General features: G+C 50.1%; 1 protein-coding gene and 1 long non-coding RNA gene across 2 annotated transcripts, besides 1 other annotated feature; one reads left to right on the forward strand and one right to left on the reverse strand.

Moving 5' to 3' along the window:
* Nucleotides 1-385: 385 nt before the first annotated feature.
* SRXN1 (sulfiredoxin 1) lies at nucleotides 386-6,971 on the reverse strand. The gene is made up of 2 exons (NM_080725.3): nucleotides 6,747-6,971; nucleotides 386-2,688 (listed from the first exon to the last, which is right to left on the reverse strand). Exons 1-2 carry the CDS (start codon nucleotides 6,954-6,956, stop codon nucleotides 2,485-2,487), a joined length of 414 nt encoding a protein of 137 aa, NP_542763.1. The 5' UTR covers nucleotides 6,957-6,971; the 3' UTR covers nucleotides 386-2,484.
* LOC107985423 (uncharacterized) lies at nucleotides 6,724-12,618 on the forward strand. The gene is made up of 2 exons (XR_001754452.2): nucleotides 6,724-7,245; nucleotides 7,560-12,618. It is a non-coding gene; the product is annotated as an uncharacterized LOC107985423 (long non-coding RNA).
* Nucleotides 6,849-7,408: a silencer, noted in NCBI's record as "silent region_12582". NCBI's record gives its function as "represses an Ori minimal core promoter by ATAC-STARR-seq in GM12878 lymphoblastoid cells {active_cell/tissue: GM12878}" and the evidence as "EXISTENCE:reporter gene assay evidence [ECO:0000049][PMID:35858748]".
* Nucleotides 12,619-15,058: the final 2,440 nt, after the last annotated feature.

Here is a 15,058-nt window from a genome sequence, read left to right on the forward strand (position 1 = left end):
CCTCAATCAGAAACTCTGGGGGGCCGGGGGCAGTGGCCATGTCTGTAATCCCAGCACTTTGGGAAGCTGAGGCGGGAGAATCGCTTGTGCCCAGGAGTTTAGGACCAGCCCAGAGAACACAGCAAAACCCTGTCTCTACAAAAAAATGAGAAGGGCGCACCTGTAGTCCCAGCTACTCAGGAGGTTGACGTGGGAGGATCACTTAAGCCCCGGGAGGTCAAGGCTGCAGTGAGTCATGATCGTGCCACTGCACTCCAGCCTGGGTGACAGGGCATGACCCTGTCTCAAAAAAAAAAGAAAGTGGGGGTGGGGCCCAGCAATCTGGTATTTAGCAAACAAGCTTGAGACCCTGAACCATTGGTCTAAAGGAATTGCACACCCCCCCTTTTTTTTTTTAAATTAAATAAACTTTTATTTTGGAATGATACTAGATTTACAGAGAAGTTGCAGAGATAGTACAAAGAGTTCCTGTATACCCTTCACCCAGCCTACCCCAAGGTCAACATCTTACATCACCATGGTACATCTGTCAAAACCAAGAGACTGAAATTGGTATATTAACTAAAATTCAGACTTTTTTCAGATTTCCAATTTTCCCACTAATGTCCTGTTTTTGTTCCAAGACCCAATCCAGGATGCCACATTGCACTGAAGACACTCTCCCTTTTCAATTCTATTACTGGTCACCTCAGTCAACTTTCCCGGGGAAAGAGAATGCATGGGAAAAGCTCTTGTCCTTATTATTGAACTGGAGAAACTGAGGCTTAAAAGTGCCGAGTGACCAAGTTCCCTTAGAGGGCAGTGAGAACAAGGCCTGCCTTACTCTGTTCCCTTTCCCCAGGGACTCTTGGTTTTCAGAAGCCCCTCTGGAATGTCCTACCTGGCCTAACCCCATACCAGCAGTGCAGACAAGGAGGCACTCCTACTACAGTGGGTCCAGCCCATGGAGAGACTCACTTCCTGCCCCAACACCTCTTCCCCTAGACCCTGAGGGCCAGGACAATGTCTTAGTGCCTTCCAACTTGGCAGAGTGAGGCCCCATGAGACAGAGAGAAAGGGGGAAGAGGGAAATACCTTTATCCAAATAAATACCCATCCAAAATTATTTGTGATAGGTGAAAAATGGCCACAAGCTCTTTGTGGTTCCCCTCATCAAGACATGTAGTCTGTTTCTCATCCCTTGAATCTGGGTAAAGCCTTGTGATTTGCTCTGACCAAAAGAACTTAGCAGAAGTGACACTGTCCTAGTCCCAGTTCCAGGCCAAGAACTCAAGAAGTCTTTCAGCTTCTACTCTCACTCTCTTTGGAATCCTGAAGCCATCATGTGAATAAGCCTGAGCTAGCCTGCTGGAGAGGCCACATGGAGGAGAACCAAGCAATTCCAGCCAACAGCCTGTCACCTGCCAGGCAAGTGAGTAAGGCTATCCTAGACCATCCAGGCCCAGCTGAGGTAACAGCTGACCTTAGCTCCATGAGGGATCCCAGGTGTGAGCAGCAGAACTGCCCTGTTGAGCCCAGCCCAAATTGCCAACCCATAGGATTGTGGGAAAATACAGGGTTTGTTTCTAGCTGCCAAGTTTGGGGATGGTTTGTTACACAGCAAAAGCTAACTGGTACACAATTCTGCATTTCTCTCTTGGTAATGGGATCCCAGTTTTATTGCAGGAGGCAGTGTGCCAGTCTCAGTAGATGGAACACGATTGGTCTATTCAGCCATGACAATTCTGTTCCCTGCTGTCTTAGCTTTGTTTGCAGCTAGAGGTGCAATGGTAGCTGGCTCGGGCCAAGGGCATCTAAGTGAAGATATGCAGAGGGAGAGAGCAGGAAACAGACTTCTGACGAGGTTTTACTTTCTGATAGAAGGTGACGGGTCCAGCTAGTTTGGCCCTTCCTCTTCCTCCACCCCTCCTTCCTTGAACGCAGACATGATTCTTGGGGATACAGCAGCCATCTTGGGACCATGAAGTAACGAGCACTGAGATTAAGGCAAAAGGATCCAAGACGTGACCCCTACCTTCGTGGAGTTGTTGAACCAATACCATTAGCCACCCATCTCCAGAATCCATGCTATGTGGAAAAACAATCTTCTGTTTGTTTAAACCACTGCAATCAAGGTTTTCCTTTCCTTGCAGCTGAATGTAGTCCATATAAGAGGTTACATAGACAAAAATGCAGAGGGATCCTTGTCCTTGGGAATTTGGAGCCGGCAGCACGTGGCTCTTCAAGCCCATCTCTGTTCTCCTTCTCGGTAATGCTTCAAGGGTAAGGCCATGATCCTATTGTCACAGAGGTGGGAACTGGGGCTCCCACACTGTACAGTGAGTCCAAGGCCTTGTAGCTGGTGAGAGGGGTGCCCAGAGTCAGACCCTCTCGCCAGGTGCAAAGAGAATGCACCCCTGCTATCCCTTCTGCATGGCCCAGCCTGCTGGAGGCCAGGTGTGTCTTCTGGGCTCTTGAAGGTGGCAGCAGGTGCCAAGGAGGCTGCTACTGCAAGTCTGGTGTGGATGCTCCCAGGTACACCCTTAGGTCTGAGAGAGTGGACTGGACAAGCTTGGCGGGGATGGTCTCTCGCTGCAGTTGCTGGTAGGCCGCGTAGCGGTGGCAGCCCCCAAAGGAGTAGAAGTAGTCACCTCCCTGGGCCCCTTTGATCCAGAGGACATCGATGGGGGGCACGCTGTCTGGGTCCTCCTGGGGAGAAGAGGCACAGAGTCAATGGACATGGTACAAGGCTTGAGAGTTTGTAAAGCAGACTTTGTCCACTTGTGCTGAGCTCCTTATAAGGTGATCACACTGGACTACTGTGAGAGACAACTGTTAATTATCAGGAATTTTGTGAGCTGTTCGACATCACCTTGTAGCTTGAAAATCAGCCATGGGAGAGTATTTACACCAGAGAAATGGACAGATGCTACAAATCAGGGATTTCTCCCACACATGTATCAGCACACCACATGCACACTATCCAGCTGGCCCTGTTGTAGACCCTGGGAATACGGTACAGCTGGAATGTGACTGAATCAGGCCCTGGCTTCAAGGGGCTCCAGTCTAGTGGGGCAGATGGAACAAGAAGTAAATATTAGAGTGACAAATGCTATAATGACAATAACACAGGTGACAGGACAGAGATGGGGTCCACGAGGCCTCTCTGAGGTAAGAATGAAGCAGAGTACTTGGAAAGATAGAGAAGTGGGGCCGGGCACGGTGGCTCATGCCTGTAATCCCAGAACTTTGGGAGGCCGAGGCGGGTGGATCACCTGAGGTCAGGAGTTTGAGACCAGCCTGGCCAAAATGGCACAACCCTGTCTCTACTAAAAATACAAAAATTAGCTGGGCATGGTGGTGTATGCCTGTAATCACAGTTACTCAGGAGGCTGAGGCAGGAGAATCACTTGAACCCAGGAGGCGGAGGTTGCAGTGAGCTGAGATCGCACCATTGCACTCCAGCCTCGGCGATGGAACGAGAATCCATCTCAAAAAAAAAAAAAAAAGAGAGAAGTGGAATAGTTTCGATTAAGAGCTCAACTGCCTGGGTTCAAATCTAGCTCTGCTGCTTAACAGCTATGTGATCTTGGGCAATTCATCTTTTTGTGCCTCAGTTGCCCCATCTATCAAATTGGATGGAGATAACAGATCCATCTCATAGAATTTTTGGGTTAAATGGGTTAATATATATAAAGCACTTCAAACCATGCTTGGCACACGGAAAGTGCTCAGTAATGTATGCTGTGTATGACCTGAGGGAAGAACGTTCCATGCAAAGGGAACAGCAAACGCAAAGGACTTGAAACCAGAGCACGTTCACTGTGTAGGAGGCACAGCAAGGAGTTCACTAGAGTGGACTCCAGGGCTCCAGGAATGGTCAGAAAGGCCAGCAGGAGCCAGATGGTGCAGGTCTGCTTCTGAGAGCAGTGGGTGGGCCCTGGAGTGTTGGCAACAGGGGAGGGTGACATGATCTGATGCATGTTCTAGAAAGTTGTCACAGGAGAACAGACTTGGCAGGGTGGACAGGGCACAGGGCTGGAAGGCAGAGGGGAGGCCTCTGCAGGTATTCAGCAGAAGATGCTGGTCTGGATGATGGTGTGGTGGGGACAGGGAGAGGTAGACAGGTTTGGGACACATTTACGGGGCAGGCCCAAGGGGTCTGGCAGAAGGGGTGAATCCAAGGGCAAGAGAAAAGGGAGAATCTAAGTTGACTTCCTGTTAGGGGCCCACACAGCCAGGTGGAGAGTAGGTCATCCTCTAAACAGGGAAAGTCTGGGGCAGGACGGGTGCAGGGTAGAGCACTCTGGGGAGACCCCATTAAGTGTGAGCGGCGTGGAAGGCCTCCTGCTGCTGGTCCACGGGTTCTCTCTCATGATTCCACAAATGATTATTCAGCAGTAAGGTGCAGCAGTCACAAGCCTGAGCTCTGGAACCTGGCACACCTGACTTTGGATCTCAGCTCCTCTCCACAGCAGCTGGGGCACACAGCCCTCTGAACACCATTCCTCACCTGTAAACTGGGAATAAAACATCCTAGAGGGCTGCTGATGAAGAGTCAGTGAGCTGATGCCTACCGGGCATTAGTGGAGCACTAAGGAGGGCAGCCGTGCCAGGCAGGCCTTGTGCCGGGTACTGGAGGCACGATGGTGGATGGCCAGAATGATGGCTCCCAAAGATGTCCACGCCCGAATGCTTCTGAATGTGTTACCTTACATGGGAGAAGGGACTTGGCAGACAGAATTAAGGTAAGGATCCTGAGATGCGGAAATTATCCAAGGTTATCTAGATGGGTCGAATGCCATTATCAGGGTCCTTAAAACTGGAAGAGGAAGTAGAGGAAGAGGTCAGAGTGATGCGATGTGAGAAGGCCTTGGCCTGATGTTGCTGGCTTTGAAGACAGAGGAAGAGGCCATAAGCCAAGCAGTGTGGGTGGCGTCTGGAAGCTGGGAAAGGCGAGGAAATGGATTCTCCCCTAGAGCCTACAGAAAGTAGTGCAGCCCTGCTTGGTGTTAGCCCAGTAAGACCCATTTTGGACTTCTGACCATAAATAAACCTGTGTTGTTTTAAGCCATCAACTTTGTGGTAACTTACAGTGGCCCCAGAAAACTAATACAGGTGTATGTAAGCAAAGGCAGAGCTGGTTCTGGCCCTCAGAGCCTACGGTTCTAGCACGGAAGGCAGGTGTCTAGACAGGACGTTAAAAGCCAGTGGGCTGTAATCCCAGCACTTTGGGAGGCCGAGGTGGGCAGATCGCTTGAGGTCTGGAGTTTCAGACCAGCCTGGCCAACAGGGTGAAACCCCATCTCTACTAAAAATACAAAAATTAGCCAGGCGTGGTGGTGGGCGCCTGTAATCCCAGCTACTTGGGAGGCTGAGGCAGGAGAATGGCTTGAACCCGGGAGGCGGAGGTTGCAGTGAGCCAAGATCGTGCCACTGCACTCCAGCCAGGGTGACAGACCCAGACAACGTCTTAAAAAAAAAAAAAAAAAGCCAGTGAGATCAGAGCTATGCAGGTGGGCACACAGGTGGCTGCAGGCCCACAGAAGCTCCTAACCCGGTAGGGATGGTCAGGGAAGATCCTGACACTGAGACAGGAAGACCGAGAAAGAGTGAGAAACGACAAGGCAGAGATAGAAGAGGTTCTCAACGGGAGAAAAAGCCCAGTGGTGGGACAGGGCATGCATGGCAGATCCCTTCCCATCTCAGCCAGGCGCCGTGCTACTATTGTGGCAACAGATAAGATGGGACGAGGTCCTCGCCCTTGTGGAGTGCACGTGAGGTCAGGAAGACAGAAAATAAAATGCAACACAAATAGATGTATAATATAATTTCTGGTGGACATAAGTGGTATCCTGAAAAACATCTCGGGCTAAGGGGAGAGCTAGAGAGGCCAGTGACTCTGACCAAGGGTGATCAAGGAGGCAGAGAGCTGAACCAGGCAGGGGAGCAGGCCCTGTGGTTGTCTGGGGAAGTGGCTCCAGGCAGTGAGGACACTAGTGTAAATACTAGGACTGAAAGTTATCGGGGGTGGCTGTAGAGGTGCTGGGTGGGGCTTAGGGATCTCATGTGCTCACCTTCCAAGGGTCGGGGGAAGGGGACACAACGTTATGTAGGCCTAACCTGACACCTGTTCTTGCGGGGCCCCCAAGTTCCTGCCAGAATCACTCCGGTATTCTTAACACCCTTCCTCAGTGGTGGAGCTGACCCTTGACCTCTCCCACTTCCCATTCAGACAAGGGCCTCCCAGCAGATATGACACACCTAGTCCCACTGTCACTGACTGTCACAGCCATGAGAGCCCACGGCTTATCTCCGGGTAGTGCGGTGGCCATGTGCTGGGCAGTGGGGCCCAGGCTGCCTGGGTGTGAATTCCAGCCGTGTCACTTTTTAAGCGCCTGATCTTAGTCAAGCCGCTGAAATCTTCCCTGCCTCAGTTCTCGTCTGCAAAAGAGCCACTATCTACCTCCTAGGGTTGGCATAGGAAACTGAGGGACTTCCTGCAGTTCCTGGACCACTGCAAGCACTAGCGTTATAAGCGTTATCATCACTACTTTAATTATCTCGCCCAATTCCCTCCTTGCTCAAGTGAGGAAACAGAGGCCCAGAGAGGCCCAGCTACTTGCTCAAGGTCACACAGCAGAGGCTGAGCTCCGGCTGGGCCCGGAACCAGTCCGTCTCGCGTCCATCGCAGCGACCTCCCTCCTCCGGCAACCTCCCTCCTCCGAAGCCCTCCCTCCGGTTGGCTGGACTCCCCGAGGCCTCACCCGGATCGTGTCCACGAGGCTCTGCACCTTGGCGGGGTCCAACACGGACGGCAGCGGCCGGATGAGCACGCTCAGCGGCACGTTGTGCACCGCGGCGATGCGGCCCGAGTGGATGCTGCCGCCCTGCGCGCCGCCGCTCGGCCCGGGCCCCTCGGGCGCCCCCCGACCCGCGCCGGCCCTGCCCAGCGTTCCTCCTGCACGCAGCCCCATCGTCGCCGCCGCCGCGGGACTCGCCGCCTCCCCCCGGCCTTAACTCCGGCCGGGCCATACCATTCCGCGCGGCCGGGGGGGGGGGCCCGTGCCAGGGCAGCGCGCGTTTCTCCCCCGACCCCGCCGCGGTCCGGCCTCGACCCCGCGGTCCCCAGCCCGACTCCGGCTCCGCTCGCCAGGTGCCGCCAGACTCGCGCGGGGCTCAGGCTCTCCACCGGGGGGCGCCTCTCGCCTCCCCTGCGCCGCGCGGCGTCCGGGGAGTGGAAACGCCCGGGCGGGCTGACTCAGGGTGAGTTTGCAGGTCGCGGGGCGGGAGGGGCGCGGGTGACGCACCGGCCGGGCCGACTTAGGCCGCGGGGGCGGGGGCGGGGGAGAGCGCGGCGGACCTGCCCAGCCAGGGTGAGTCGGCAAAGCCCGCGGTGCGCTGCTGCCCCGCTGCTGGGGTTCCTAGCCAGCGAGGTTATGATCCCCACCAGCGGTTCCACTTCCAGTCTGGCGCCGGCTGTGTCTGGAGTCGTTCCGAACATTTTGCACGTGTATTAACGTATCTGAACCTCAAAACAACCCTGCAAGGAAGGTATGACTGTTATTCCCATTTTACAGAAGAGGAGACTGAGACACAGGTTTAAGTGATGTACCCAAGATCACGGAACTAGTAAGTGGCCGAATCCGCGTTCAAATCCAGACGGTCTGGCTCCAGAGTCCGCCTTCTACCCCACCGTTGGCTGCCTTGGTTCAGCAACAGTGACTGTCACACGGAGCCCTCAGGAGTCGCGCTGACAATGGGTGGGCCCTGCCTTCAAGTTCCACACTGTCTGTTTGTGTCATTACAACACTACTGGAAGTAGGTGCAGTTATAGACCCGCTGTTCAAGGTCAGCTGAAATGAAAGTCAGGTCACACGAGTCCAAACTGTGGGGCCACTTAACCACCAACTCCAAGCAGGAAGGTGGACGATCCCAGACTCGGTCGAAGACAAGCATGTCTGGTTTGCTTGTCTTCCTTCTCAACCTGAATGGCACGAACATGGAGAAATGCATACTTACCCTGCCAGCTGGAGAAAACTGGAGACGAAGGAGGGAGCCAGGAGTTTCTACTTTGCCTTCCACCAGTTGCTGACACTTTCTGAACCCCGTCTGTAAAATGAAGTCATGCTGCCCATCACTCAAAGTTGTGTGAATTGAGAGAGTGCTCATAGTGCTCTGTGAATTGCATAACATCCATTTTGCTGTTGAAGATCATTTATTTTGGGTTCTTAGTCTCTCACAAAACCTTAGAACACTGACACCAAGACTCCAGCCTTTCCCTTTCGAAACATAATTCCCGTGCGCACCTAAATGATACTTTATTTCAAGAAGTAGAACTGACACCCACACCTCAGCCCCAGAATTATTCAGAATTAGAGAATTTCATCAAGAGGGAAGTTATCCCTTCTAAAACATCTTCCTCATTACAGGAAGTAAGAATGGCAGGATAACAGTTTCTAGAGTGGAAAAGTGGAGCTCTGGCCTGATTCTATCATCATGGTGTACCCAGGGAGGCCTCATTTCCTGGTATCAAATTCTCTGTGTTAAGATATCTATGGCCCAATTCAAAATGGCTTAAGCAATAAGAAGGTTTGTTTTCTCACATAATAAAATGTTTGGAGGTAGGTATGTCCAAGGTTGGTAAAGAGGCAGTTGAACAATGTGACCAAAGACTCCAGTTCTGGCTGGGCCCGGTGGCTCACACCTGTAATCCCAGCACTTTGGAAGGCTGAGGCAGGCGAATCACTTGAGGCCAGGAGTTCGAGACCAGCCTAGCCAACATAGTGAAACCCTGTCTCTACCAAAAGTACAAAAATTAGGCAGGCATGGTGGCGCGCGCCTGTAGTCCCAGTTACTCCAGAGGCTGAGACAGGAGAATTGCTTGAAACCGAGAGGCAGAGGTTGCAGTGAGCTGAGATCATGCCGTTGCACTACAGCCTGGGTGAGAGAGTGAGACTCTCTCAGAAAAAAAAGACCCTGGTTCTGTCTATCCTTTTGTGCCATCATCCTTGGTGTTCTGTTATCCTGCGGTGTGCCCCTCATGGTCCCAAGATGGCTACTGTAGCTCAAAACATCACATCATTACATGCGAATGTCCACAAGTGGAAGTTAGGACATCCCTTCGAGCCTCTTTTTAAGAGTGAAGAAACCTTCCCTGGCTGGATGCAGTGGCTCACACCTTCTGACCTTCCACTCCTCAAGCCCCGGAGTCAACTCTAGTCACACTGGCCTCCTTGCTGTGCCTCTTCCACAGCGAATGTGTCCTGGCCTCAGACCCTTTACATTTGCTGTTCCCTGTGCATGGAACGCTCTTCCCTCAGGTCATACATAGCATACATTACTGAGTGCTCTCCATGTGCCCAGCATGGTTTGATGCGCTTTACATATATTAACTCATGGAACCTAACAGCTTTATGAGACGAGTCTGTTATCTCCATCCCCATTTGATAGATGGGGCATCCCTGTGGGAGCTCTGCCCATTCCAGAGGTGCCAGGCCATTCACTAATGGGGGCAGGAGCCGGTGAGTAAATGCCAGTCTTGTGCTGTCACAGGTGGACGATTCAGAGAGGTGTTCTAGACCATTCAGATCTTTCTGGAACCTTCTCAGAGACCAGAAGTACTCAGCCCTATTGCTACAACTGACTTCACTAACACACCCTCTGTCCCATTCCTCCCACCCCTTACTTCTGCTTCCAGGGATCACCTCCCACATAAACGACTTACACTCAAGTCTCAGACTTGCTATCAGGGAACCAAAACTAAAACAAAAGGGAAACTTGATACTGGGTCATCCCCTATAGTTCTGTACCTTGCCTGGGTTAAAATTGCACTATTTTATTAGATGTGTGACCTTGGGCCAGTCACCTGTCTGTGCCTGTTTCCTAATCTGTAAAACGGACATAATGTCACCTAATTCACAGGGGTGTTGGAAGAGTGAAGAGAGATGGTGTTAGGTGAGGTCCTTAAAACAGTGCACAACGCATTATAAGTGCTCAATAAATGTTTGCTGTTTGATTGCATTTTAAATTGTAACAGAGCTTGAACGTCTCTCCGTGTCTTCACTTTCAGACTAGGCTTGATGTATTAGTCAAGACTTTTGTTTGCAAGTGACAGAAAGCCAAAGTGAATTAGCTTAATGAAAATGGGGATGCTTGGCTATTCCCGTGACTGAGGTGAAGCGGAGCCTCAGGGGAAAGTAAGTTGAGAGATTTCTTTTCTCTGCCCTCACTCAGCAGAGGGATTATCTCTACATGTCAGGAACATGACTGTCAACAGCGATGATATTTGGCTTTAAATAAGGGAAACCTGACAACAGAGACTTCATACAACTTAAAGTGTTTCCTCTTTAAAAAAAAAAACAGTCGAGGTAGGAAGTCCATGGCTGGGATGGCTGCTCCATGGTCACTAGTGGCATAGGCCCTTTCTATCTTGCCGCTCCATCATTTTCCAGCAGAGTTTTCATTCTCAGGGTCACCTCCTATTCAGGATTGCTGCTGAAGTGCCAGCCGTCTCATCCAAATTCCACCCTGGAAAGAGGTGGAGAAATGGAAAGGCAAAGGATATGACCCCTCCCCTTTTGAGGATGCTATCTCAGAAGTTTTGTATAACACTTCCCCTTGCATGTCATTGACTAGAAATTGGTCACACGGCCACCCCTGGCTGCAAGGGCAGCTGGATATGTTGTCTTCATCCGTAGCGGTAATGTGCTGAGCTAAAACTGGAGTTCTCTTACTAAGGAAGAATAGAGATTGATAAGTAGCTAGCAATCGGGGCCACAGCTCTCAAGTTACAGGCCTTATGGCACAGAGACAGGGAGAGAGAGAAAATTTCCAAGTTCTAGTCAGATGCCTACATATGGACAAGCCAGCTATGGCATTGGGGGACACAGACTTTCTTAAAAGCATAAGCCACCATTATTTATTATAATGACTTAAAGGTAAGGAGTTCATTTAAAGATAATTACTGGTCACCTGCTATTGGCTAGGCTAGACCCAGGGGATTTAGTGATCAGCAAAAAGACACTACCAATCTCTGCATTATGAGGCTTACAGTGTAGTGGAGGATTCAGATAATGACCAAATAATCACACTGGTTAATGGAAAGTATACATTGGTAGTGGGTGCTGCAAAAGAATGGCATGTGGTTCTGAGGAAGTGTTTTAGTCCTTTTTGGCTGCCATAGCAATACCATAGACTGGGTGGTTTATAAACAACAGAACTTTGTCTCTTACAGTTTTAGGGGCTGAGAAATCCAAGATCAAGGTGACTTTGTATCTCCCCAACATTCATATGTTGAAATCCCAACCTCCAGGTGATGGTGTTGGGAGGTGGGCCTTTGGGAAGTGATTATGTCACGGGGTTCATGGGGGTAGAGCCCTCATGAATGAGATTAGTGTCCTTTTTCTTTCTTTTGAGACAGGGTCTCACTTTGTCACCCAGGCTGGAGTGCAGTAGAACTGTAAAGAAAACTTCTAATTTTTAAAATCAGGAACCTGATAATAACTAAGGAATCCTGAACAGAGTGTTGGTAGAAATACAGATGAAAAAGGCCATTTGGATGAGGAAATGAGGAAGATATTATTGGACAATGGAAAAAAGGCCATGTTGTTATAAAATGGCAAAGAACTTGGCTGAATTATGTCCACGTTCTAGTGTTTTATAGGAGGTAGAACTTGTGAGCAATGAAACGGAATATTTAGCTAAAGCTATTTCTAAGCAAAGTGTTGAAGCTGTGGCTTGGCTCCTCCTGACTGCTTATAGTAAAATAGAAGCAGAAAGAAATGAGTTAAAGATGTGACTTTTAAGCGAATAGGAAGCAAAACGTAAAGATTTGAAAAATTTTCAGCCTATCCATATTGCAAAGAATGAGAAAGAATGTTTGGGAGAAAACACCATAGTCTCCATAAGGAGACTGTAATGGTGATGAACGTAATCAGCCATCCCAGCAGGAAAACTGCCGTCTTGAATTGAAGGGGAAGGAGATGGGAAGGGATGAGGAAGGAAAGCTGTCTGACTTCTTGGATTTTTCAGGACAAGACCAGAGTGCAAACTCTTCAAGACAAGGGAAGAATGACCCTGAAGGCAATTCAGAGATCATCAAGGCTATCTCCTTGCTTTCAAAAGTCGGGAGCATTGCCTTGCATTCAGCAGGTTAGAGGGCCTCTGTCCAAAGCCATGGAGGAAGAGCTGCCCAGAGCTGTTGGTGTGGGGCTACCCAGAGCCCTGGGAACATGACTTCTGCGGGATAGAGCTGGAGGGACAGGACCACCACCCCAGAGGGTACAGAGGGTGGGACCACCACCATTGTGGATCTGGAAGGCTGCCTCAGTGGGCCTGGAAGCAGAGCATTTAATGAACTAAAAATGATTTTTCTTGAGCCTTAAGATCTCATGGAGTTTGCCTTGTAGTTTGGATGTAATTTGGATCTGCTATTCCTTTCTTCTTTCCTATTTCTCCCTTTTGGAATGGTCTATCCTATGCCTGTCTCACCATTGTATTTTGGAAGCAGATAACTTGCTTGATTTCACAGGCTCACCGCTGGAGAACAATTTGCCCCAGGATGCATCACACCTTGAGTCTCAGCCATATCTGACTTAGATGACACTTAGATAATAAAACTTTGGATTTTAGACTTCAGAGTTAATGCTGGAATGAGTTAAGGCTTTTGGGGCTGTTGGAATGTAAGGAATGAATGTATTTTGCATGTGAGAAGGATGTGAATTTGGCGGGGGATGGGGACGGAGGCAGAATGCTATAGACTGAATGTTTGTGTTCCTCCAAAATTCATGTTAAAATCCTAACCCCCAGTATGATGGTATTAGGAGGTGGGCTTTTGGGAGGCACGTTAAGGCCAGTTCATTTCATGGTCACAAGATGACATGCTTTTCTGTTCACACTGGAGGGGAAGAGGAACTGGACTTCCTTTCCTCTTAAGAAAAAGGAAGCAGCAAAGTTTTCCATACCCTTCCAGCAACCCTCTCCTTAAGTCTCATTGGCCAGAATTGGGTCATGTGCCCATTTCTGAACGATGGGAGATGTTAGTATTAGACCAGTAAAGACTACCTCTTAAGCTGATGTTCAGTCCCCAGATTGCGTGGTTGCTAATCCAGGAGAGAGGGGTGGGGTGGAATGGTTATTGGACCCACATAACTGGGCTGGATATGGCTGATGGAGACCCAGCATTCTTTCCCACCTCCCTCTAGGGTGCCTTCTAGATTGCCTAGTTGGAGAGTTAAAAACTCTATTTCTCAGATCTCTTTGCAGCAAAGATACTAACAGGGAATTAAGTTCTACCAGTTAGATGTACTTTCATGAGACATGGATGGCAGAGGTGGGCCGGGGCCATCTTCCATCTTTTGACTCTTGCTACTGTCAAGATTGTCTTGGAGGTGTTAAGATTTTCTGTAGCAGTGTTCCAGCATTGTGCCACCAGCACAGTGGGAGACAGGAGATAGTTATAGAGGCAGTGGCAAGGGCCTGCTGATCCCTGGCTTGCACCTATGATGCGGTGTTCTGTATCTCAATAGTTCCAGGGCACCTTATTGACCACCACCAACCCCCACTCCGCACCCTCTCCCACCACTGACTGTGGAAGAGGCAGGTGCTGTCTCAGTGGCAGCAGTTCTGCAGTGGGGTTCTGGGGTCCAGCAGATGGCTCACTTCAGCCCTTACACAAATTTTGTCAGCAGCCAATTATTGAAGTATTAAATCCTTTCTCCTTCAAAGGAATTTAATACTTGTTTATAAAATCCTGTCTAGAGTGGTTTCTGTTCCTGGCACCTAAAACAAACATAATGGATCCAACAGCCAGTCACGGGCAGTGTATGTGGGTGGTTAAGGGATGCAGCAGATGCCTGGGTTTCTCAAAACCCCACTGGCGAGGCGGGCAGATCACTTGAGGCAAGGAGTTCGAGACCAGCCTGGCCAACATGGCAAAAACCTGTCTCTACTAAAAATACAAAAATTGGCTGGACGCGGGGGCTCACGCCTGTAATCCCAGAACTTGGAGAGGCCGAGGCGCGCGGATCACAAGGTCAAGAGATCGAGACAATCCTGGCCAACATGGTGAAACCCTGTCTCTACCAAAAATAGAAAAATTAGCTGGGCATGGTGGCACATGCCTGTAGTCCCAGCTACTTGGGAGGCTGAGGCAGGAGAATTGCCTGAACCCAGGAGGCGGAGGTTGCAGTGAGCCAAGCTCACACCACTGCAGCCTGGCAAGGCAGCGAGACTCCATCTCAAAAAAAAAAAAAAAAAACCAAAAACAAATTAGCCGGGCGTGGTGGCACATGCCTGTAATTCCAGCTACTTGGGAGGCTGAGGCAGGAGAACTGCTTGAACCCAGAAGGCAGAAGTTGCAGTGAGCTGAGATTGCGTCACTGCACTCCAGCCTGGGTGACACAGCAAGACTCTGTCTCAAAAAAAAAAACAACAAGAAACCACTGGAGATTTTGCAGAGTTGTGGGGAGGTTCCCACAACTGCTGCTGTCAAAAACAGCTAGCACATTGCTCAGGATGCAGCTGCTTGTCCAGAGGGGTGTGAAGGGAAGGCGGACAGGCACCAGGGAGGCAGTCTACAAACTGAGTGCACTGCTTACACAGGAGGAAACTGACAAAGAGGCCCCAGAGGAGGCAGATTCTAGCCTGCAGCTTCCCCATCCCTCAAAGCATGCAGGTTATGCTTCTTGGTAAGTCTGAGTTGAGGGTAGGTGGCAGGGGTTGGTGGTCCCCAGTGAAGTTTTTAGTAAGGTGAGACAGATTTGTATCTTGAAGGATCACTAAGGCAGCTATCGAGGATGATGGATTGGTTGCCTTGAACACTTTTGGTGACAGGCAGCTCAGAAGCTCTAGGGGCAAGTCACTGTTTTTGGACAACTTTCCAGCTGAGCCAAAGTCAACCTTTTTGCCTGCTTCCACTCACTGAATATGTGACCATATATGACTAGGCAGAGCAGTAGGGGGTGAACTGGGGAAGATTATAGGGGTTGTAAACTGGCTGTCAACAGACACATGTGGACCACAGTTTTAACTGTTTGGTGGGTGTAGTTAATTTGAATCCTATTTCTCTAAGGTGAGA

The sequence above is a fragment of the Homo sapiens genome, chromosome 20 (genome assembly GCF_000001405.40).
Source record: "Homo sapiens chromosome 20, GRCh38.p14 Primary Assembly".
Taxonomy (NCBI): domain Eukaryota; kingdom Metazoa; phylum Chordata; class Mammalia; order Primates; family Hominidae; genus Homo; species Homo sapiens.

Excerpts from the sequence above, each read along its gene's own strand:
- SRXN1 (NM_080725.3), bottom strand. The coding sequence starts at position 6,956 with ATGGGGCTGCGTGCAGGAGGAACGCTGGGCAGGGCCGGCGCGGGTCGG. Across the intron at positions 2,689-6,746 it reads GCCTCGTGGACACGATCCGG|GAGGACCCAGACAGCGTGCC; the intron begins GTGAGGCCTCGG and ends TCTTCTCCCCAG.